Source organism: Homo sapiens, chromosome 2 (assembly GCF_000001405.40).
Source record: "Homo sapiens chromosome 2, GRCh38.p14 Primary Assembly".
In the NCBI taxonomy this organism is placed as follows: Eukaryota; Metazoa; Chordata; class Mammalia; order Primates; family Hominidae; genus Homo; species Homo sapiens.
This window is the reverse complement of record NC_000002.12, coordinates 79,344,057-79,370,284: the sequence shown is the minus strand read 5'-3', so window position 1 is coordinate 79,370,284 and position 26,228 is coordinate 79,344,057. Positions and strand designations below refer to the sequence as shown.

The following is a 26,228-nucleotide window of genomic DNA, read 5'->3' as shown; positions in this document are numbered from 1 at the left end:
TTACATAATTTCTGAGTGATCTTTCAATTTTGAAAGTTGAGTAATTTGTCCTTGCTCAGTGCAGGGTTAGAATTATTCTAAGATTATAGCAAACAAAACCAGAGAGCCTAATCCTTTCTCTCTGTGTAGAGAATGTGGACTTTCACAGGGATTATGAGAGGGAGTGTCAGATTATCTTTGTATGCTCTGATACTGAGGTCAAAATCTTGTCCTCTATTTAACATTCTACAAGGCATTGGCCCAGTTGTAGCTTCATAAAGTTGAGCACCTCCTCTTCGCCAGAATTAGATTGACAGTAGTAAAATATCTGGATCTTTTTCTCAAGTATCTTACAACCTTGTAGATAATATGCAAACACACAAAACAGGGAGAAGAAAATTAATTGTGAAATTACACGCTAGCAATTATAACTGTAATAACCCTGAGGACTGAAGTGATCCCAGAGGTGTTCAGGGGAGGTGGGACTTAAGCTGTGTCTTGAACGTTGGACAGAATTTAAATAAGTTGTAAAGGGAAGATACTCCCAGTGGAGGTAAATGGGAGCAATATGGGCAAAGGGTGGAGGCAGGTGTAAGGAGTGTTAGGAGGAAAGTAGATCAGTGTTATCTGATGAAAGTAGAAGTTGCTCTTCAAGGAGTGTGCGATATTTATGTTGGGTGAGCCTTGAAGGCTTGAAAGGAAATTTAGGGCATTGATACCTACCTGGGGGAGCTTCTGTAGGTTGCTGAGCAGGTGCCTGTCACAGGGGAGCCACACTGGAAGAGCAGTCATGTCCACAATGGGCCGGAGACAGGGGTGCCGCTACAGTCGTGTGCATGTGCCTTCATAAAGGCCAAGACGATATTGGAAGCAGCAGGAACAGACAATCTCCCGGCGAGTCACAAACTCAGACACTGGGATCGCAGCAGCAGCAGCTGGCAGTGCTCGGGGGCTGCGGGGGAAGCTCAGTGTGCATGTTCTTGAGGAACATAAAGAGCCCACACTGTTCTCTGCTGACATCTGAAGTTTGGGGCTGGAATTGTTCTCCCCAGGAAATGCTGAATCTAAAAATGGCTCTTGTTTTTATCCATTTATGAGTGGAAGGCTACTGACTAGAGGAGTGGATGACTGAGGGCCTCTCACATTCTACCTTCTCCACTCCCTTATTGCCAACAGCTCCCAGTGGTGGTGCCCTGGTGTGCAGGGGAGAATTCTGTGGCTGTGTGAGAGGTTGGTCAGGGTGAATTAGCACCAGTCTCTGGGCTCAAACTTTAATAGTTAGTGTTAAAGATCACCTCCCCCAGCTAAGGTTAAGCAGGACTCTGGCAGGAGAAAGATTTTCTTCTTCAAGCGGCAGCATCATCCAGGCCTTTTAGGGAAAACAACAATAACAACGACAACAACAACAAAACCTAGTTTTGCTCTTAGACCAATAAAGCTTTATCTAAACAAAGTGATAAAGTGTGATACCCAGGGACACAAGTGACTGGATAAAAAGCTTTAATTTCATTGTTAATGGAGTGTTTCTCTAAGTTGCCTATACATATCACCTTGAGTGACCCAGTAGGATGCTCCATTTCAGGGTAAAGGGAAGGGTGTAGCGTTTAATTCCTGGCAGCGCTGTGTGTGTGCCACCTCCCACTCTAATAAGCCTGTCATGTGTCTCATGGAGGAAATGTCAAAGATGTCTTTCCATTTCCAGGTTCAGAGAGCCCATGGTGGTTCGGGGGAAGCATCAGTGTTGTCTACAAGAATATGGAGCCCACTCCAAATGAAATAATCAGATAACATTGAAAAAGAGGAAATCCGCACAACGTCCAGCTATGGAGTAGCTACATGGTGAAATGCCGGGAAGATGTCCAGGACAGGATGTGGTGACACTGTGGGAAGGCTTTATTGCAGAAGGGAATTCTAAGAAGTGTGGGAGAACCATGAAATTTAGCCCAGAAGAGTAAGAAACATTGTGCCAGGATTGGAAAGGAACAGCTCTGACAAGGAAACAAGAATAGGAGAAAAATGCCAGTGCAGATAGAGGGAAGTGCTAGTTGCTCTAGGCAAAGACCATAGAAAGATTTGTCAAAAGGAGTCTTACGTTAAATATAGAAAGTCTGCTTCTCAGATTTGTGTTAATTCTTTCTCTTGATTTGAAACTGAGGTAAGTGCATGATGAAGAGTACTGACTTTTTCAGTCTTCTATGTCCACAGGTAGGTAGTTTGTGGACAAAATTTTATCTATCCTAATGAAATCACAAAATGATAACCATTGTCATCTTTTATTGAGCTTATACCCTGTGTCAGGTACTGAGCTAAGTGATTTACATGGAGTATTGCATTTCATCTTTACCACACCTCTGTAAGGTAGGTAGTACTATTTTCTCTAGTATATAAAGAAATGAAGATACAGAACATTCCTTATCTATAGACTGCAGATTATAATAATGGTACCTCTCTCACCAGAGTAATTGAGATAATCCATGTAAATTGCTTAGCCCTGGATCTGGCCCTTAGAAACTGCCTAATATCAGTTACTCATTTTTACTAATGCCTCATAGCCCATAATTTCTAATTGCCAGAGTAAATGCCAACCTGGTGTCTCCATCTCTAAAGCCCATCTCTTGCCTGGATGAAAGCAGTCATCTAAGAGTTCTTGATGTGCCCTTTTCTCCCCTCTAGTTGGTTCTCAACTCAGCAGTTAAGAAAGTCAGACCACAAACTCTTCTGCTGCAGTTCTACAGTGGTCTAGAAGGCTTCATAAAATCTCCCTCCCCCATTAGCTTTCTAAATCATCTCCTACTTCTCTACCCATTGCTTACCTGGCTCCAGTCCCACTGACCTCCCTGCTGTCCCTTGAAAATGGGACATACTGCCATCTTAGGGCCTTTGCACTTTCAATTTCCCTGCCAGAGATGCTTTCCCCTTATTTGCGTGTTCTTTTCTCTCACCTCCTTCAGGCCTATCTTAGTCTGCTAGGACTACTATAACAAAATATTGCAGACTGGCTGGCTTAACCGAAATGTATTTTCTAACAGCTCTGGAGGCTAAAAGTCCAAGATTAAGGTGCTAGCTGATTCAGTTCCTGGTAAGGGCCCTTTTCCTGGCTTTTGGATGGCCAGCCTCCTTCTTGCTGTATCCCCACATGGACTTTCTGTGATGCACGGGAGTAGAGTGAATGAGAAAGGATCTCTCTCTTCCTCTTCTTATAAGCCCTCTAACCCTATCATGAGGGCTCTACCCTTATGACCTAATGTAACCCTAATTAACTCTCAAAGGCTCCATCTCCAAATACCATCACATACATTGGAGATTAGGGTTTAAACATATGAATTTGGGGAGGACAGAAACCTTTTGTTCAATAACAAGATCTTTCTGTTTAAATGTCTCAGTGAGACCGTCCCATACCACCCTTTATATTAAATAGCACTTTCCACTCACCCAACACTTTTTCTTATTCTCACAGTAATTATATCTGATATACTATACATTTTATATAGTATGAAAATACCTGCTGCTTCTCTTCCCTCACAGGAATGGATGTTAGTCCAAGGCAGAACGTCCTTCTTTGTACATGGCAAATGTTAGGTGTTCACAGTTTGTGTTGAATGTTGAATGAATGAACCCTTCTAACTGCCTTAACCTCTGATAACTCTCTTATGATATTAGAATTTTGTCTCCATACTCAAAGGCAGGATATTACTTCCATTTTTTTTTCTGAAACTCTCTAAAAGTTAGGTAAACTAGAGTCAGCTGGCCTTTGGCCAAAATGAACAAGGGTTGTAAACTCTGCTTCACTGAGGAATAGCTCTCCGTCTTATTCTTCTTTTGGTATTCACTGTGCCCTGGCAGGGAAAAACTCAAAAAGAGAACATAATTAGGAAAAAACAACCCACACCAAACAGGCCCCACAAACACAGAAAAATAGGTCATTGTTCCTAATATAAGGAAGAAAAATCTTTGTTCCTAGCCGGCCTGTGTTCCACTTGTATGAAAACATCATAATTAATTGAATTAATTTAATTCTGAATGATGTGTGCCTTTTAGAAATCTGCCTTTATTTATTTATTTTTGTTTTGCAGATGACACATCTTGTCCTCACTCTGCATAGCTCTTAGGTAAGCTAAATGTTTGTTTCATTATCAAAGGGAAGCTCCTCCTTAGCCCTGCACGTGACACACACTCATGACCTACTGTGTGTGATCTCTTGCCTTTTAGCAGAGAACAACGAGGCTTCTTTTAAGAGCACAGACTATGTTCTCTAATTTTTTGTTAATGCTGCAGAATAACTAATAGAGATTTTCTCTTCCGCCTCATAAGTCTGGTGGATGAACTGAACATTAACCCTCACCGGGTAACCTTGAGAAGCCCTCATGAATGTGCAGCAATTACAATCCATCGCACTTGCCAGCGACCTGGTAAAAATCAAGGTGTGAGTTACAGTGACCGTTACAGAAACATTTCATACGATCCAGGAGACATTACCTTCCCTGGGCTCTCTTGGCAGGAGACAGAGTGTACAAAGCAAAGTTGCTGCGGCTGAAAGAACCACAAAGAAGGAGTCACATTCATATTTTCCTTCTCGTCTCTAATCATAAAACAAAAAAACAAAAAACAAAAAACCTGGAATCATCTTGTCATGTCCCCCCCACTTCCCTTTTTTTTTTTTCCTTTTTCTCCTTTTTTTTTTTTAGACAGGGCCTCACTTTGTGACTCAGGCTGAGATGCAGGTGCCATCATAGCTCACCACAGTCTGAAACTCCTGGGCTTGGGCCATCCTCCTGCCTCAGACTCCTGAGTAGCTATGACTACAGGCATGCACCACCACACCTGGCTAATTTAAAAAAAAAATTTGTAGAGATGGAGTTCCCACTATGTTGCTTTGGCTGGTTTCAAACTCCTGGGCTCAAGCAATCCTCCTGCCTTGGCCTCCCAGAGTGCTGGGATTACAGGTGTGAGACACCACCCTTGGCTATTATCTTGTCACTTTCTGAATTCTCATTTGCAGGTTTAATTTATTCTTTTTTTTTTTATTTTTGAGATGGAGTCTCGCTCTGTTGCCCAGGCTGGAGTGCAGTGACATGATCTCGACTCACTGCAACCTCTGCCTCCTGGGTTCGAGCAATTCTCCTGCCTCAGTCTCCTGAGTAGCTGGGACTACAGGCACCCGCCACCATGCTCAGCTAATTTTTTTGTATTTTTAGTAGAGGCGGGGTTTCAGCATGTTGGCCAGGCTGGTCTCAAACTCCTGACCTCAGGTGATCCACCCACCTCACCTCCCAAAGTATTGAATTACAGGCATAAGCCACTGTGCCCAGCCTATTCAAATATTTTACACATACCAAGGAATGCTAAAATATAAATCCCACATAAGATTCAAGATGCTGCTGGGATAATTATGAAGAGTGATGTATGTTTTGTAAGCAAAGAAACAAAAAATATACAAAATTTAAATAAAAGTTAAGAAATAGTTTCTGCATATTCCTCCTCTTCCTAAACAATTACCCCTTACCCCTTTTTACAAAGAATTCAGTCTTTAGTTAACATGAGAAATCTACTTTTGACATAAAAGTACAGTTGATGGAGAATGAGGCTACATTTTCTCTGGGTCTTCTCTAGGCTTCAGTGAAGCCTAGATAAGATTGTCTTTGAAATTTTTGAAATTTTTACTTTAGACTTTATTCAACCTAAAGCAGTCAAGAACTCTCCAGCTTCTGTACAAAAGATGACCCAAATTCCCATCAAGATGCTGGTTTTGTTTAATGTATTATTCTCGTCAAAGGTGAAGAGAATAATATTTTATCCACAGAATTTCAAAACCCAACAACATGCTAGTTAGCAAAAGATAAACTGTATTCTGAAAGAGTAGATTTTCGCAGAACCCTATAAATCACAACATATTTGTGGATCTCCTAAGTATAAGACTGGCCCTATAGTGACAGTGGATCTGTATGAACTTAAACATATGAGAAGTTTGTTGCTGCTCATTGAATATACACTGGGGAAGAAATCAACATCTTGTAAGTCATTCTATAACCCCAAGTGGACACACAGTTATGAACCTTCACAAATACTTGTCTTGGTGAAGTTTTGGTCCTAATTTTCTTGGCAGAGGATAAGTTAAGTGTATTCTATTTATCCTCCTTTATTGACAATCAACTTAGCTCATTTGCCTAGCCTGAAAATTGCTTGCTGGCAATTTTTTTCCTCCAAGACCTGACACTGTGAAAGACTTTAATACACATGATTTGCTATGGCAGTGTGGTGCCCCATGCATGTTAAGGGTACCTTTAGATGTAATGCCTTTTCTCCAGCTCAAAGTCACATTAAGGATTGAAACTCTGTTCCAGGAGCTTTACCAATCAGGAGTTAGCTATTTTCAATGACTTTCTCAGTAACATTCAATCCTCTTTGACCTGCTTCTCTGCCTTTCATTTGCATACTAGCCTGGCCCAAGGAGAGTGATTGCCTGTCCTGGACTGCTTCTTGGACGGTGTTGATTTAGTGGTAACACTGTGCTGTATAATTCGTTTGCTCCTCGGGCCTGTAATGACTTGGCTTATATAGAGTACAAAAGTGAATAGTAATCTAGGGACCTTGGCCCTAGGGCATTAAGAGCAGCAAAGGAAAACTCTTGTTTCAGAGATGGTCCCTAACCAAGTGTCAGACGGGACACTTCAGTGATAGCTGATTATATACAATATAAGAGGGTTCAGTTTTCTATATTATATGATGAGATTTTTTTTTTTTTGCTGGGGGAAGGTTATAGAAAATAAAGTTAAATGTAATAAATACCTACAAAGAGACAGATACTAGACCAAGCACTTTACATACGTTAAATTATTTCTCAAAACAACCAATGAGGAAATGTGACTGAGAGGGTTTTATGGACTGAGTGTATGTGTCCTTTTAAAAATCCATGTTGATGCTTTTAGCCCCAGTGTGGCTGTATTTAGAATAAGGCAGTAATTAAATAAAATGCAATTATAAGTGTGGGGCCCTGATCCAATGGGATTAGTGTCCTCAAAAAATAGACAGTAGAGAGCTTGTTCTCTCTCTACCTTGTGAGGACACAGTGAGAAAGCAGCTCTCTGTAAGCCAAGAAGGAAGTCCTCACTAGAAACTGAGTCATCTGTAACTTAGATGATGGACTTCTAGCCACCAGAACTGTGAGAAAATAAGTTTCTGTTGTTTAAGCCACCTAGCCTGTGGCATTTTGTCATAGAAGCCTGAAGTAAGTTAACACAGAGGAGTTAAGTAACAGTCCCAAGACCACACAGCTAGGAAGTGATAGAGGTTAGAACTTATATTTGTCTGATGCCCAAGACTGTGTCATTAACAAATTCTACTCTGTTTTTTCATCACATTGCCTTTGTCTCCTATCTGTTAGGATAGGCTAACTAATGCTTTGGTAACAAATAGTCCCCAGTCTCTGCGGCTTGAAACAAAAATGTTTACTTCTCCTCCAAACTAAGTTATTGCCCACTGTGGGTCAGCTGGAGGCTATGCTCTGTGTCATCCTTTGTCAACGATCCAGGCTGGTAGAGCTGCCACTATCAGAAATGTTGGGGTCACCACAGCTGATGGGGAAACTGCTGTGCCAAATCACATTATTCTGATTGAAGTTTCTACCTGGAATTGGTGTATACTTCTTCTGTTTACATTGCGTGGTCATGCCTAAGAGCCTGGGAAGTGCAACATCATCATGTAAAGAGAATGGGAACATTTGGAGAGCAGCACTAATGATTACTATATCTACTCAGGGGCATGAAAATCCCATGGAGTTTCTAGATGAATCTAGAATTCCACAAGTGAATTCACTTGCTACCAGTGTAGCCCCTTGGTCCACTTTTGCTAATACTTGACCATGGAAGATTCATTAAAACATATGATACCTGACATGAATATGTTAATTAGCTTGATCTAACCATTCAACAAGGTATACATAGTTCAAAACATGTTGTACATGATGAATATATATAATTTTTATTTGTTGATTTAAAAACTAAATAATAACAAATAACACAACAAAAAAGCTATGACCGTGAGCTGGAATATTTGTGAGTGCATTTGGAAAAAGATGTAAGATGAATGAAAGTGTTTGCCAGGACTAGGGCAAGACCATGGGTTCTATTAAAAAAGACAGTGCTGTTCCTGGTTGGCACAGCTGGCTTAGTATAGTCACTGCTTAATTGGAGAGGCTTGAATAAGCTCCAGATGGGACATTTGCTGACCACCATGATAGCATTCTACAGGCAATTTTAAAATTATTTTGGCTAGTATGATGGTTAATATTGTGTCAATTTGATTGGACTGAAGGATGCAAAGTATTGATTCTGGGTGTGTCTGTGAGGGTGTTGCCAAAGGAGATTAATATTTGAGTCGTGGGCTAGGAAAGGCAGACCTACCATTAATCTGGGTGGGCACCATGTAATCAGCTGCCAGAGTGGCTACAATATAAAGCAGTCAGAAAAACGTGAGAACACTCTAGACTGGCCTAGCCTCCCAACCTATATCTTTCTCCCATGCTGGATGCTTCCTGCCCTTGAACATCTGACTCCAAGTTCTTCAGTTTTGGGACTTGGACTGGCTCCCCTTGCTCCTCAACTTGCAAATGGCCTATTGTGGGACCTTGTGATTGTGTGAGTTAATGCTTAATAAACTCCCCTTTATATGTATATCCTATTAGTTCTATCCCTCTAGAGAACCCCGACTAATACAGCTAGCTAGGGATATTGAATATGAACACCAGCTGACTTCTTTAAATATGAACACCAGCTAACTTCTCTCCTAATTGTATAAAATGATACCTCATAGACAAAAACAAGAAGTAGTTACCCTCTAACAGCTCAGAAAGATGACGAAAGAGATCAAAGAACCCTAATCGGTGTTGCCATTTATATTTCCCATTCATCTCTCTGATATTGTCACCTTTTTTTTCTGCCAAATGGGAAGCTTCCTATTCATTGTGATGAAGCATAACTTATCCACCCAATTAGATTTACCTTTAACTTAAGAATACTTTTAACTCTACTCTTGTTTGTTTGTCTAAATCTTTAACATCTAAATGCATTAGCTATTAAAAAACAGCCAATAAAACAACAAATAAAATTAAAGGGTAGCATTTCTTAAAGGGTCCAGGTAGTCATTCTACTGCAGATCTCAATATAGGATCAAGAGATGTTATTTTTAAAATAATGATCTTCCCAAGAAAGTAATAATAGTTAAGCAGATTGTTCCAGTCCTGTGTCTGGGTAAAGTGAAGAGGAGCTTGTGGCTTCCTCAGGCCTGTGCATGCTTAAAACCCTTGACCTCCCACCTTCTTGAGTTATATCAATAACTCCCACTGAGACTGACAATACAGATGGTGGTAGCTAAACATCTATACATTCATATAGCATTTTATGATCTTCAAAGCATGACTGCTATTTATTTACTCAATTTATTTTCAAAGCAACTTTGGGAAGTACATGTGCATTTTACTGATCTTAGCTGTGGGTCTCTCTGAATATCCAGAGAGAAAAAGACATTTGCTATGATTGGACAACTAGTCAGGATGATGGATACATCTTGACTTAATTTGAGGTGTGTTTCTTTACCCTCACCCTCTACATTTCCTGTTGACTTTTTGTGTTTTCCCTTAAAAGGCCTTATCCATACCCTTAATCAGCTCTATGCCTGAAGAAGGCTCTAAGTATTTCCTGTCTCATTAGTTATTTCTATTTTCAGTAGTGGGCAGTATCTTTTTATTTATCATCTACACAATGAACTATCATGGTGATTAAAAATAAGTCCAAATGCTTCCATCTGGCGCTCAAGCCTCTTTACATCTTAATCTCATCTCATTTCTTTGTTTCCCCTATTACTGCTTCTCATCCACATGACACTTTCACCCAGGAAGACTGACTGTGACCAGAATATATATGCTCCTTGGTGTCTTGTCTCTGATTGTACATTTCTCTCAACCAGAAATATTCTGGCTCCAGATTACCACCTGTTGAAATTCTCATCTTTCCAGACCCACTTCTTGATCAGTCTCTTTCCTGAATCTGTTACTAATTACAATATGACCTTTTCTTCTTCTGAACTTTCCGAATGGCACTCGTAGGATAGAACCATGTATTCTGAGGGCGAGGAAAGTTGTCAGCCCTGTGTCTTAGTCATAATAGTAGCTTAATTATATTTGTGGAACTGTAACTGTGGTTCTCAGACTTGGTCTCAGGACCCTTGACTCTCTTAAAAATTACTAAGTACTCAAAAGAGATTTTGTTTATATAGTTTTTATGTGTTGACATTGGCCATATTAGAAATAAAACTAGATAAATTCTAAATTACAAGCCTGCTTAAGCACACATCCATTACCCATAAGAATGATGATGGCATCCCAGTCCTCTCTATTCTTGGGCACATAATTCCTAAGCATTATGATGAAAACAGTTTGACCTTACAGATTCTCTGAAATGGTTCAGAAGATTATCAAGGGTCCCCTATCACACTTACCTAAGTAGTATTACAGAAAAAAAAAACCTTCAGACTGAGTCAAGAGCTCTAGGTTTAGAACCTCTTTCTGCCATAAACATGTTGTTTAACATTTATTTGGTCTTTGGCTACCTTCTTCTGAAAGTGAGGCATTTGGGGGTAAGTGATCTAGGAATTTCTCCTAGCTCTACGCAGCTGCTCCTAATCCTCTGCATATCTATAGAGTAATTCTCTCCAGGGGCTTCCCATGAAGGGGTTTTCCTCCTATTCAGCATGAGCCTTCTTGCTATTAACCCGGTTGATCTATAAATGTTACTGCCATGCCTAGAAAATCATAGGACACATTTATGGCATTATAACATGTGAATGCCTGGAAGAAAGGCAACAGAAAGAATCTCAGACACCATTTTTGAAATAGGGTTTCTCTCAGCAGGGGTGTCATGTTAGGGCCCTGTGAGTTCTAACAGGATTGGTTCATGAGACAGATGAAACTACCTAGAGAGAACTGAGACTTAAAGAAATTTATAAAGTGCATAAAAGCTTTCTAGAATTCAGTCCTAGCCCCTTTAATTTACCCATAGATGTCACAACACCCCTCTTGCAGCAACATCATACTTGGCCTTCTTATGTAATCTCCCACTTTATCCCAAACCAGGCATCCACAGTTAGTTCTCTTTATTATTCCACTCCCTCTGTATCAAAAGTTGTCTGTTTCATGTCCCATCTTTTTATGTTGTACTCAAAAGCTGAGTTAACTAATTCAGGAATATAAGTGATCAGGTGTTTCCAGGATTTAGTAACTTAGTATGTTATATCTAGTAGGTGTAACTGTGGCCTACAGTAGGCACTGTTATATTTTTTAAAATGAACTCATCTGAGTCTGTTGCACTGGATGTTCTGTGGTGAAAATTATTTGGGTTAGAGAGCTTTTGGCAACACAAACCATGCTACTTCTGAGTCTCTGAATGTTGGGATTGGAAGTGTATGGAAAACTTGAGTAAGTTCCTGGCTCTGCCACTAAATAGATGAGTGAACTTGAACAACTTATTTAAACTCTCTGAGCTCCTGTTTACTTATCTGTAAAATGAAGATATTTAGAGTTAAAAACCTAGGATATTTAGACTTAAATTTAGACTTAAATTGGCTGCTGCTTTGGTTTCTTGAAAGAAATACTTTGGTCCTTGGCCTCCAAAGCCTCTGCTTAGCTGCTTTACCGATTCTATGTGGTATGTCCTCCTTTTTAGGTTCTTTGTTGCTGTTTTAAGAGAAAATTTCCAACTAAATGCTTGTTTCTTTACAGATAAAAATAAACCGTATGTTGACTAAGATCCCACTTGGCCAGGCGCAGTGGCTCATGCCTGTACTCCCAGCACTTTGGGAGGCCGAGGCAGATGAATCACCTGAGGTCAGGAGTTCGAGATCAGCCTGGCCAACATGGTGAAACCCCATCTCTACTAAAAATACAAGAATTAGCCAGGTGTGGTGGCTGACGCCTATAACCCCAGCTACTTGGGAGGCTGAGGCAGGAGAATCACTTGAACCCAGGAGAAAGAGGTGGCAGTGAGCTGAAATTGTGCCATTGTACTCCAGCCTGGGTGACTAGAGCAAAACTCCATCTAAAAAAAAAAAAAGAAGAAAAAGAAAAGACAAAAATTCCATTCAAGGCTGGAGTCTTAAATATAGAATCAACAAGCTCAAAGGTTTTCATTTAATAAGAAGAAAAATCTCTTTTATCTTCACCAAAATACTTTATCTTCACCAAAAAAAATTTCATCTTTGGTTTTTTTAAAAAGGATTATGACTCAAAGATAATGAAATCCTATGGAAAAATAAGTAAAATAGAATCTTGACTGAGCATCCAGTAAAATAAGATAGAGTCAAGGGAAAGACCAAGATTTAGGATTGTAGCAAAGGAGAACTCATATCTATGTAGGAAATTCAAAGATGTTTTACAGCACCTTCTTCGCTTTAAAAAAACGTTTCTTTTTCTGGATTATAGAATTCCAATTTTAATAATGTTATTGATTATTTTCTGGCTTTCTTTATTCAGCAATTAACTGTCAGCCTTACTGTTGCTCATTTGAAGGCATTGTATCCTTTCCCTTGGCTGCTTTTAAGATTATTCTTTCATCTTTGTTTTTTTAGCAGCTTTGCATGATGTGCTCAGGTATGATTTTCTTGATTTTTACTCTACTAAAGATTTGTAATGATTCTTGAGTCTTTGGTTGGCTGTCTTTCAGTTGGAAGGAAATTCTTGGTTATTAGCTCTTCAAACATTTCTTCCGCCCATTCTCTCTCTTTTCTATCTGGAACTCCAGTCACATTTATATTAAATTGTTTCACCTTGCCCTATATGTCTTTTATGTTCTTTACTGAATTTTCAATAATTTGCTTTCTGTGATTCGGTCCAAGAATTTTCTACTGATCTATTTTCCAGTTTAATAACTGTATTTTCACTTGTGCTTAGCCAGCTTTGATATGAATCTCTTGAGTTTTGTTTGTTTGTTTTTGAGACAGGGTCTTACTCTGTTGCCCAGGCTGGGATGCAGTGATGTGAATATAGCTCATTACAACATTGACCTCCTAGGCTTAAGCAATTTTCCTGCCTCAGCCTCCCAAGTAGCTGAAACCACAGGTGCATGCCACCACACTTAACTAATTTTTTTCTTTGTATACAGATGAGGCCTTGCTATGTTGCCCAGACTGGTCTCAAACTCCTGGGCTCAAATGACCCTCCTGCCTTGGTCTCCCAGAGTGTTAGGATTACAGATGTGAGCCAATCCACCCAGCTCTATTGAGTTTTTAATTTCAGTTATTGTATTCTTCAGTTCTAAAATTTCCATTTGATTCTTTTGAAACAGATTCTAGTTATTTAGTGAACTTCTCCATTTTGTCATCCATTTTCTTGAATTTTTAATCATAACTATGTTTAAATCTCTATGTGATATATTTTATTTATAATTCTAATCTATCAATTCTATTGTTGGTTTTTAACTTCCATTCCTTCTTCTTGATATACATGGTAGTTTTTTATTATCTGCTGATCCTGTGTAGAAAGTAGTGTTCTGGATGGTGCTATCTTTTTATAGAAAAGCTCACTATATTGTTCTAGATGGTGGACTTTTCTTCTGTGAGGCAACTAGACTGGAGGCTGTTCACTTTAGCCAATTAGGAACTAAGCTAACTAGACGTTGGGTTGTATTTTTTGGTCTGGATTTATCTAACTCTGGCTTGCCTCAAATTAAAAGCCATCTTATTGGTATTTCTGCTTTTATCTCCAGAGTAGCAAGAAAGCAAAACACACCACTTAACTTTTCACTGTTTTCTTGGCATCTCAGCCTCTTACCTCATGTTAAGAATGAATAAATAAGTTGGAAGTCATCAAAAATTAAAACTTTTGTTTATTAAAGGGCACTATCAAGAAAGCAAGAATGCAAACTACAAAATGGAAGAAATATTTGCAATTCATATATCTGAAAAGGTTATAGTAATAAGAATTTATAAAGAACTATTACACTTAACAAGAAAAATAAGCAACCCAATTAAAAAATGAGTAGAGGACTTAAATAAACATTTCTCCAAAGAAAATAAACAAATGACCAATAAGCATATGAAAGATGTTCAACATCACTAGTAATTAGAAAAATGCAAATTAAAACAACAATATAATACCACTTCACACCCATTAAGATAGATATATAAAAAGGAAGTATATATACTTTTTCTTTATAATTATATAGGTATATATATTTCCATATTTATATTTATATATATACGCTGGTAGGACTGTAAAATGCTGCAGCCACATTAGTAAACAGTTACGTGGTTATACAAAGAGTTATATATATAGAATTACCTTATAACCCAGCAATTCCACTCCTAAATATACCCTATGGAATAGAAAAAAAGTATTCAAATGAATACTTGTATGTGAATGTTCACAGCAGCACTACTGACAATAGCCAAATGGTGGAAACTACCCAAATGTCCATCAACAGATAAATTAATAAATGTGGTATGCTCATACAGTGAAATGTTACTCAACCCTAAAAAGGAATGAAGTGCTGATTCAGGTTAAAATGTGGATAACCTAGAAAACATTATGCCAAGTAAAAGAAGTCAGGGATAAAAGGATACGTATTCTATGACTCCATTAACTTAATATATTCAAAATAGGTAAATCCATAAACACAGAAAGCAGATTAGAGGATACCAAGAGCTAGGGCATAGGAATGGGGAGTGATGGTTTAGTCTGTACTGGGTCTCCTTTGGCAGTGATGAAAATATTTTAGAATTAGATAAGGTGATTATTGAATAACACTGTGATTGTCCTAAATGCCAGTTAAATTGTATACTTTAAAGTGGTTAATTAATTTTATGGAATGTTCAAGGAAGGGAAAGATATCTACAAGGAGAACTACAAAATGCTGATGAAAGAAATTGTAGATGACACAAACAAATGGAAAAACACCCTATGTTCATGGATTAAAAGAATAAATATCACAAAAATGACCATAATGTCCAAAGCAAGCTACATATTCAATGTATTCCCTATCAAATCACCAACGTCATTTTTCACAGAATTAGAAAACAAGCTTAACATTCATATGGAACCCAAAAAGAGCCCAAATAGCCAAACCAACCTTAAGCAAAAGAACAAAGCTGGAGGTGTCACATTACCTGACTTAAAATTATACTACAAGGTTATGGTACCTAAAACAGCATGGTACTGGTACAAAAATGAACACATAGATTAACAGAGCAGGATAGAGAGCCCTAAAATAGAATCACATACCTACAACCAGCTGATCTTTAACAAAGTCGATATAACTAATAGAGACAGATAGCAGGACAAGATGGATGACTAGAAGAGCCAAGAGAGCCTCTCCTACCAAGTGAGATCAAAATGTGGGGTAAGTCATCATACTTTAAACAGCTCTTTTTAGAGAAAACACTCTAAATCAAGAGAGAGGCACTGACATTGAAGAGGAAGGAAGCTTGGAATCCTACATGGGATTGCTGACTACCAGGACTCATTCCTAGCTCTGAACAGCTCCTAAGGAAGTAGTGAGTGGAGCAACTGCAGGGCAATTCACTCTCACAGTGGACTTCTGGGATCCTAGGTGCAACAGATCTCATGATGCCCAAGGATAGTTAAGCTGGCAGGGAGCCTCCCAGAGAGTAGGTAGAGACACAGCTGGAGCTCAATAAGATGCAACAGAAAGTTGAAACCCAATCTAAGGAATCCAATAAAATAATCCAAGAGTTGAAAGACAAAATAGCTATTTTAAGAGAGAACAAAATTGAACAAATGGAACTGAAAAATTCACTACAGGAATTCTATAATACAGTTGGAAGCATTTAAAATAGAATACACCAAGCTGAGAAAAGAATCCAAGAGCTGGAAGACATGTCCTTTGAATCAATGCCATCAGACAAAAATAAAGAAGAAAGAATTTTAAAAAATGAACAAAACCTTTGAGAAATGTGAGATTATGTACAGAAGCCAAACATATGACTCATCGGCATTCCTGAGAGAGATGGAGAGAGAATAAGCAAGTTGGAAAACATATTTGAGGACATAGTTTATGAAATGTTTCCCAGTCTTTCTAGAGAGGTTGACACACAAATTCAAGAAATTCGGAGAACCCTTGTGAGATACTATAAAAAACAATCATCCCCAAGACACAATGGCATTAGGTTTTCCAAGGTCAACTCAAAAGAAAAAGTATTCTTTAAAACTGCTAGAGGGAGGGCCAGGTCACTTACAGAGAGAACTCCAACAGTCTAGCATAGGACTTCTTAGCAGAAACTTTTCAAGCCAGAATAGACTGGGGGACTATTTTTAACATCCTTAAAAAAAAAGAAATTCCAACCAAGAATTTAATTTCCTGCAAAACTAAGCATAATAAGTGAAGAAGAAATAAAATTATTTTCAGACAAGCAAGCAAACACTAAGGGAATTCATGACCACTAGACTGATCTTACAGTAGGTCCTTAAGGGAGTGCTAAACATGAAAACAAAAGAATGATATCTGCCACCACAAAAACACACTTAAGCACATAGCTCACAGACACAATATAGCAACTACACAATCAAGTCTATAAAACAACAAGCTAACGACACAATGACAGGATCAAAATTTTACGTATCAATATTAATCTTGAATGTAATGTTCCAAATATCCCACTTAAATTGGCATAGAATGACAAGTGGAATAAAGAAACAAGACCCCACCGTATGCTGTCTTCAAGAAACCCATTCCACATGCAATGACACTCACAGGCTCAAAGTAAAGGAACAGAGAAAGATCTTATATGCAAATGGTAAACAAAAAAGAGGGGTTGTTGCTATTCTGATAAAACAGACTTTAAACAAAAAACAATTCTCTCCTGCACACAGTACGTACTCTAACATTGTCCGCATCCTTGGCCATAAAGCAAGTCTCAATAAATTCAAAAAATTGAAATCATGCCAAGCACACTTTCTGACCACAGTGCAATAAAAATAGAACTCAATGTCAAGAAGATATCTCAAAATCATACCATCACATGGAAATTAGACAACTTGCTGCTAAATGACTTTTGGGTAAACAAAATTAAGCCAGAAACTAAAAAATTCTTCAAATGTAATGAAATCAGACACAACATACCAAAATATTTGGAATGCAGTTAAAGCAGTTGATATGGTTTGGCTCTGTCTCCCCACCCAAATCTCATGTTGAATTGCAATCCAGTGTTGGACGTGGGTCCTGGTGGGAGGTGATTGGATCATGGGGGTAGCTTCTAATATTTCAGCACCATCTCCCTAGTGCTGCCTCATGATAGAGTTCTCAAGGGGTCTGGTTGTTTAAAAAGTGTGTGCCACCTTCCCCTTTGCTCTCTTTCTCCTGCTGGCCATTTGAATATAGGACTGCTTCCCCTTTGCCTTTCGCCATGATTGTAAGTTTTCTGAGGCTCCCCAGAAGCAGAAGCCTGCATAGCTCACAGAACCATGAGCCAATTAAGCTTCTTTTCTTTATAAGTTACCCAGTCTCAGATATGTCTTTATAGCTGTGTGAGAATGGACTAATACAGCAGTGTTAAGAGGAAAGTTTATAGTACTAAACACTTTTAAGAAGTTATCAAGAAGCTAGAAATATCTCAAATTAACTATCTATGATCACACCTATAGGAACTACAATGAAAAAGAACAAAACAACCCCAAAGCTAGTAGAAGGTATGAAATAATCCACATCAGAGGAGTACTGAAAGAAATTGAGACACAAAAATCCATACAAAAGAACAATGCAAACAAAAGTTAGTTTTTTGAAAGGATAAACAAAATTAATAGACTGCTAGCTAGATTAACACAGAAAAAAAGAGAGAATATCCAAATAAGCACAATCAGAAATGACAAAGATATTATTACAGCCAGCCTCACAGAAATACAAAAGATCTTCAGAGACTATTTTGAAGACCTCTATGCACACAAATTAGGAAAACCAGAAAAAATGGATAAATTCCTGGAGATACACAATCTCTCAAGATTGAACCAGGAAGAAATTGAAAACCTGAACACACCAATAACAGTTCTGAAACTGAATTAGTAATAAAAAACCTACCAACCAGAAAAAAAAAATTATACAAGCAGTCAACAAATGTGAAAAAATGCTAATTATCACGACTTATTAGAGAAATGCAAATAAAAACAACGAGATATCATCTCACACCAATCAGAATGGCTATTATTAAAAAGTCAAAAAATAACAAATGCTGATAAGGCTGTAGAGTAAAGGGAACAGTTATATGCTGTTGGCAGGAATGCAAATTAGTTCAGCCACTGTGGGAAGCAATTTTGGAGATTTCTCAAAGAACTGAGAGTTGAACTACCATTTGACTCAGAAATCTCATACCAAAGGAAAATAAGTGATTTTATCAAAAGGTCATATGTGTCTGTATGTTCATTCCAGCACTATTCACAATAGCAAAGACATGGAATCAAATACGATGTTCATCAATGGTGGATCGGATAAAGAAAATGTGGTACATATACACCATGAAATACTACACAGCCACAAAAAGTATAAAATTAAGTCCTTTGCATCATCAGTATGGATGCAGTGGGAAACATTATCATAAGTGAACTAACACAGAAACAGAAAGCCAAATACCACCTGTTCTCAAGAATAGGAGCTAAATATTGGGTATACATGGTCATAAAAATGGGAACAATAGATGCTGGGGAATAAAAGAGCAGGGAAGAATGGAGAGGGGTAGGGGTTGAAAAAAACTACCTATTGGATACTGTGCTCTTTACCTGAGTGACAGATTCATTTGTACTCCTAATCTCAGCATCATGTAATATACCTATGCAACAAACATGCACATGTACCCCCGATTGTAAAATAAAAGTTAAATAAATACATACATAAATAAACAATGGGAATGATATCCTGTTCACTAAATGGTATTGGGAAAAATTGGCTAGCTACAGGCAGGAGAATGAAACTAGACTCCCATTTCTCACCATATACAAAAATTAACTCAAGATAGATTATATGTAACTATAGCTTGAAGTTAAATGTAAGACCTCAGATTATACAAATTCTAGCAGAAAACCTAAGAAAAACTCTTCTGAACATTGGTCTAGGCAGAGAATTTATGACTAAGATCTCAAAGATAAATGCAACAGAAACAAAAATAGACAAATGGGACTTATCTAAACTAAAAAACCTTTTGCACAGAAAAAGAAATAGCAGAGTAAAAAGGTAACCTACAGAATTAAAGAAAATATTTACAAATTATCTCAGACAAGTAATATCCAGAATCCACAAGGAATTCAAACAAGTCAACAAGAAAACAAACAAACAAAAACATTAACAAGTGGGGAAAGAACATAAACTGACATTTCTCAAAAGAAGACATACAAGTGGCCAACAAATATATTAAAACATGCCCCACATCGCTAACCATCAGAGAAATGCAAATTACAGCCACAGTGAGATACCATTTCACATTAGTCAGAATGACGATTATTAGTAAGTCAAAAAACAACAGATGTTGGTGTGGATGCAGAGGAAAGGGAATGACTATACACTGTTTGTGAGAATGTAAATTAGTAGACCACATATGGAAAACAGTATGGAGATTTCTCAAAGGACTAAAACTAGGACTAACATTTGACCCAGCAAGCCCACTAGTGGGTATCTATCTAAAGGAAAATGAATTATTATATTAAAAAAGACTCCTGTGCTTGTATGTTGATCACAGCACTATTCACAACATCAAAGTCATAGAATCAACCTAAGTGTCCATCAGAGGTGGATTGGAATAAAAAAAATGTGGCATATATATATCATAGAATACTATGCAACCATAAAAAAGAATAAAATCATGACTTTTGCAGCAACATGGATGGAGCTGGAGGCCATTATCCTAAGTGAAACAGCTTAGAAACAGAAAATCAAATTCCACATGTTTTCAGTTATAAGTGGTAGCTAAACAATGGGTACACAATGACATGAAGATGGAAGTAACAGACATTGGGAACTCCAAAAGTGGGGAGGTTAGGAGAGGGGTAAGGGTTGAAGAATTACCTATTGGATAAAATTGTCACGATTTGGGAGATGGGGACCCTAGAAGCACAAACCTCACCTTTACACAATATATCTATTTAACAAAGCTCCACATGTACCCTATGAATCTGAAATAATTTTTAGAAAGAAAAAATTTCTGGTATATTAACTTGACCTCATTTTTTTTTTTTTTTTTTTTTTTTTTGAGAAGGAGTCTCGCTCTGTCGTCCAGGCTGGAGTGCAGTGGCGTGATCTCGTCTCACTGCAAGCTCTGCCTCCCGGGTTCACACCATTCTCCTGCCTCAGCCTCCTGAGTAGCTAGGACTACAGGCGCCCGCCACCACGCCTGGCTAATTTTTGTGTTTTTAGTAGAGACAGGGTTTCACCGTAACTTGACCTCAATTTTTAAAAAAAGATTAAGAAAATATCTTGAGAGTAAAAGCAATATGCAGACTATTGACCACACCTCAATGGGCTTCCTTTCTTTCTAATATAATGGTTTCTCAATACTTGGTGTCTTCATCAGCTCTCTGATGCCTTCACATACATGCTTTTTGTTGTTATATCTTACCCATATTTGATGCTTTCCTGAAACAGTCAAACTCATGCTATTCTTCCTCTGACTTCCAAGCTATTGTTGGCTATTATACTATAACTACATTGTAATATATCTAATCTATAGGTGTATCTAATCTATAGAATGTTAATTATCTTTCCATTTATATTTGGCTGGATCTTCAACCAGCTTATATTCTCCTTCACAATCAGAATAGTTTGTGTTTCTAACCTCCAGTACATAGCATAATAGTCTTCAAAGGCTAGAGCAAATCAGAATCACTTGGGGCAATTTATTAGCCCTAACCCTAGAGATTCTCAATAAAAATTCTGGGATGAAACCAAGAAAAATATATTTAGTAAACACAGATGTCTGAAACCCATGAGTTAGAATTTCAAAGAAACACTGCTCAATAACCTTAATATAAGAGATACCTAATAACTATTTGTTGCAAGAATAGCACGCTTGATTGAATATAAACTGCTTTAAAATGTTCTTCCCAATCTCATTACCTACTGATGCTGCAATACCCTATCCACAAACTTACATTTCACTCTTGCCTGCATATCACCCACTGTGCAATCAGAATATGCAAAGAAGCCTATACCATCAGTATGCATGATATATCAAATTGTGGACAAGGTGAGTCAGTTAATGTTGCTAAGAGGAATTTCCACTTTGCATATCATGACTTCTATCTTAATATTGTATTGATATTCCATGATCTTTGACAAGTAATTTTACTCTGCCGATTGCAATTTGTTCTCTGGCCTACAAAAAGGCTGATATATCAGGCATCATGAGTAGTGGCAGAGATAAATGCAATGAACTGCTTTGTATTTAACCATGATCAAAGTAAAGAAAGGGTACAGGGGGATGAGGGGCAAATAAGACACCAAGTGGTGTAGAGATTGTCCTGGAAAAGACCTAGTAAAGACTGCTGTGTCTAGACAAGGGGAAGATGGAGGCAAATATAAATCATTTTCATAGTATTCATGCTGAAGTACTATTGCCTTGATTACCTCAATAGATTAATTAAAGTATTTTGGGAATCTCTGCGACCTAGGTAATTGACTTCATACCCTAGTTACCTTTTAGGCAGAAGCAGACACATAACCACAAATTTTAGCTCAGACTGAGATATTTGAAACTCTGAGAGAATTGGCGAGAGCATTGCAAGCCTCAAGCTCCGCTTTGCTGCTGTCTCCACATCTAGATCGCCCCCAGAATATCTCTGGTTGTCATGAATAACTCTTCTTTTTGTGAAAGTTTAGTTCTAGGAAAGTTCTGTGATAGGTTCTACTCTCAGATTTTACCATCAGTACATTCTAGAACCAGGTACTGAGATCAGGAAATTGTGCCCCCAAAACAACTGTCACTTCCAAAATCTGAAATTTTGATCAGATAATTCAGCCATTCTAAACCTCAGTTCCCTTATCTGAGAAAAGCATCAACACCTACTATATAGGATTATTATGAATAATAAATGATATGATGCCAATAGAACAATATAGTCCTTTTAAAAATGAAACATCAATTGATAGAGTACTGTTTTCATAGGAGTCCAAAGTAAGTCGTTTTGCATTTTGTTGTTTGGTTCTAGCAATGGGGTCCATACCATGTTGCCTGTGACATTTTATGCTCTTTAAAGGATCTTGGCCATATTCTGAGCCACCTATACCTACTTCTACCCTTGTTTTACTGCTCTGTACACAAGTCCTTCCAGTGACAACTGTTCTTCTCTCTGGATCCTGATTTATTAAATGGGGTGTGCCAAGTATCCTGACTTGTCTGATGGGATCATCATTTTATACCTGATAAAGGGGTATATCTAGATTACATGCTCTTCCTTGTGGGACTGTTTGGTCACTAGTTCTTGGCTGCTGAATCTTAAGTGTTTTTCTTCAACACTACCAAAAAAAAAAAAAAAAAAAGGAAGGCTAGGAGACGTAGGAAAAAGAGTAACAAAATTATTTTTCCGAGTATTTTAGAGTGGTCAGATGTAGTAGAAAGATCATTGAATCCTCATTATGGCATTTAAAAGCCATGCGACCTGAGGCCAGTCAGTATGTACATGTAATGGTTGGTGTACAAAGGAGATAGAATAATGGATTAGCAAGTATTAGAAGAAAAAAAGGAGAAAGTGAGTTTTCGCAGGTTCGGTATTAAATGCATTACAGATTTGGAAAAAAACTATAATGACATAAATAATGAAAGGCAACATTTATTTTGTGCTTCACATATGCCATAACTATGCTAGACACTAAGACTTATTTTATTTAATTCTCCCAACAACCCTTTAAGTAAAGTACTATTATTATCTTCATTTAACCTTGAACAAACAGGCTTAGTAAAGCTAAGTAAATCACCCAAGGTAATTCACCTTGTAGATGTCAAAGCAGGAATGTGAACCTAGGTTCTTCCTGCTCGAGACTTTAAGCTCTTAACTAATAGCTCTTGAGGAAAGTTTCTCTGGAAATTTCCACCAAGATTTATTTATTTATTTGTTTGTTTCACCGTAGTTCACCCTATTCCAAAAAGAATTTGAGCCATTTTTCTTATGGTTGCTTGAAGGAACTTTCTTCTTTTTCAAAAAATATTCATTAATTTATGTATTTAATATTTTAAAATGTTAGGTTAGGGGGTACACATGCTGGTTTGTTCCATGGATATATTGGGTAATGTTGAAGTTTGGACTTTAATTGAACTCATCATCCAAACAGTGAACATGGTACCCAATAGGTAGTTTTCAACCTCTCCTCCACTCTGCCTTCCCACATTTTGGAGTCCCCCAGTGCCTGAAGAAACTTTCTAGAGAGATGCAAAACATTATGAAAATAAGCATCTTTAAACCAGGACTTTATGCAAATTTGGGGCTTTGTGGAGGTGCCTCAGAGCTGCCAAAGGGAGCATGAGAGGTTTAGTAGACATGGCTGGGAAATATTTTTCCCTGAATCAACTAAGGATAACATACTTGTATATAATTTGTAAAGCAATATTTTGTGAAAGACAAATGTCAGAGAATAAATAGCTTCCACTATTGGAAAAAAAGTTTGAAATCTCTGTTCTTTTTTATCAATTAGGAAATATCTTCCTAATCACATAGGGATCTCTGGGCTGAAGACCTACAGATGTGGGTTTCTTCCAATGGGCTTCAAGGAGGGATCTTGGACTTCTGAGTATAAAATCATGCTATTCCATAGTGTCTAGTTATTGACATCAATAGGACATACAGGGTTGACTGGGTCTTTAATGCAGGACTATGTGCCTTATTGAGTGTCTAGGATAAGAATGATGTACTTACAATAAGCATACTTATTAGAAGGTTAAATTGTAGGTCAAGAATGAATAGCTGAAGAGTTAGGTTCAGAAAAATGAGGACAAAATAGCAACAGGGTTCTTTGTAGCAAAATAATACTAATAACACTAATAATAATAGTCTGTCTCTTCAGGCAACTGTGACAGGGGTTAGGTCAATATTAATTTTTCATTCCTGTTCCCTCAATGCTTAGCGGAGCAGGCCAGAGACAAAACATAAGCCAATGCAACACAAAGCAAAATGTTTTCTGTATTTAATCATGTTTCTAGACAGTCTACTGTCACTTTATTTCTGATAGTCTGACCAACTTTAATAGACTGAGCAGGAAAAAATAAATTGCCCTCTCTCAATATACACAGATTAGCTCCCAAAACTCTGAAGTTTTCTTCATATTAAAACTATTTGGCCGGACACGGTGGCTCACGCCTGTAATCCTAGCACTTTGGGAGGCCGAGATGAGCAGATTGCCTGAGCTCAGGAGTTCGAGACCAGCCTGGGCAAAATGGTGAGACCCCCATCTGTATTAAAAAAAAAAAAAAAAAAATCAACCGGGCGTGATGGCTGGCGCCTGTAATACCAGCTATGCGGGAGGCTGAGGAATAAGAATTGCTTGAACCTTGGAGGCGGAGGTTGCAGTGAGTCGAAACTGTGCCACTACACTCCAGCCTGGGCAACAAAGTGAAACTCTGTCTCAAAACAGACAAACAACCCACAAAAAACAAAACAGACAAACAAAAAACCCCACAATTTTTTACTCCCTTTGCCTTCTCTAAAGGCCCCTCAGAACAAATGATTAAGCTTTGTCAGATATTTATGCTTTACCGTGACTAATAATTCCTCAGAACAGGATTTCAGAAGAGTAGAAAGCAAGAGGAAACTCTGGACAAGTGTGAGTGAGTGTATGAAAGGAGTAAAGGAGAGGTCATTGTCTTTGCGTTATTTTTGTCCTTGGTGGGACCATGAATAATCACACTGTTACTGCAATTTTTATACATTATGAAATGGAAGTTAGCCATCAATGTAGCCTATGAGAGAACAAACCACAAGAACACAATCAAATGTAGCAATGAATATGAAACACTGAAAAATAGTGTAATGCTATATAAACATATGCTATTTATTACTGTCTCTTAAGGGAAAATTGAACAACTGGTCAGTGTATGTAGAAACAACATGTAATAGTATTTGTGGAGAAACAGAAGAAAAATGTGAGGAGATTTTATTTCTCTTCTGGAAAGATATCATCATACTATAATGTTTTATTTGTTGATTTGTTACATTTTGCTTTTTTTTTTAAAAAAAAACACATTCCATAATAAAATATTAACAACAACAAATCAGCTCCATATAAATAAAGTGCATAAGTTACGGGAATACATACACTCAAATACAGAAAACAAAGTTAAAATACTACAAGTACAAAGGATTTAACACTTAGTGTATACCTCCCAAATACCAAGTACTTTACATACACTATCTTTCTTAATTCTCACAAAAATGTATTTAAGACTTTATATATATATTATATATATAAATATAATATATTATATATATAATATTTGTATTATATATATTATATATTATATATATAAATATATATATAGCTGAGAAATTGATTCTCAGAAAAGTTGAGCAACTTCACTAAAAATCACATAGCTTGCAAGAGATTGAACATGTATCTAGCCTAGTGCTAGCAGATACAAAATTGGTTTTTTAAAAAACATTATGCTCTTTCAGCATTAATCTAGAAGGACTGAATTTTGAACTGGACTTTATTAAAAAAGGCCTGGATGGGAAGATTCAGAATAGAAGTATTCTTGGTAGAAGCATTTGGATAGTATTTAGAGTTAACTCATAAGAACCTCATTTGGTAGGAGGCTATTGCGTTTCATTAATTCTTCAATGTGCACTGGTATAGAGACCTATTATGTGAAACTTTTCCAAAGGGGGTGGGGAATCATATAAGTCAAGCTGAGACTTTTCAAGTTATTCAGAGATTGTAATATCACTGAATTTAAACCATGTGAATGGAAAATGCCAACCATTGGAGCAATAATTGCCACTAGAAGAAAAATCCATTCAGCATACATGAAAATCAAAGGATTCTTGCATTGAAATAAAAAATGGATTCCAGAAGCATCATTCCCTGGCTTTCTGATGATAATGCCACCCACTGCAGGTAATCAGTGCAGGACGTCTGGGAGGTGGCTACACAAAGAGCTGTGTAGAGCGGGGTGCCTTTGACAATTCACTGGGCAATGCCTGCCCCTCTGGTTAGTGTGCCAGTTGAAAACAAGTGGAAAGGAGCTGAGTTCTGAAAGTGGCTGCCCAGGACTGGCAACCTACA

The 26,228-nt window shown here is 37.7% G+C and overlaps 1 protein-coding gene across 1 annotated transcript in view; it reads right to left on the bottom strand.

Moving 5' to 3' along the window:
- The window catches only part of CTNNA2 (catenin alpha 2), a 1,463,404-nt gene that overhangs the window by 1,278,496 nt on the left and 158,680 nt on the right, over positions 1 to 26,228 (bottom strand). The gene's annotated exons all lie outside the window — the stretch shown is intronic.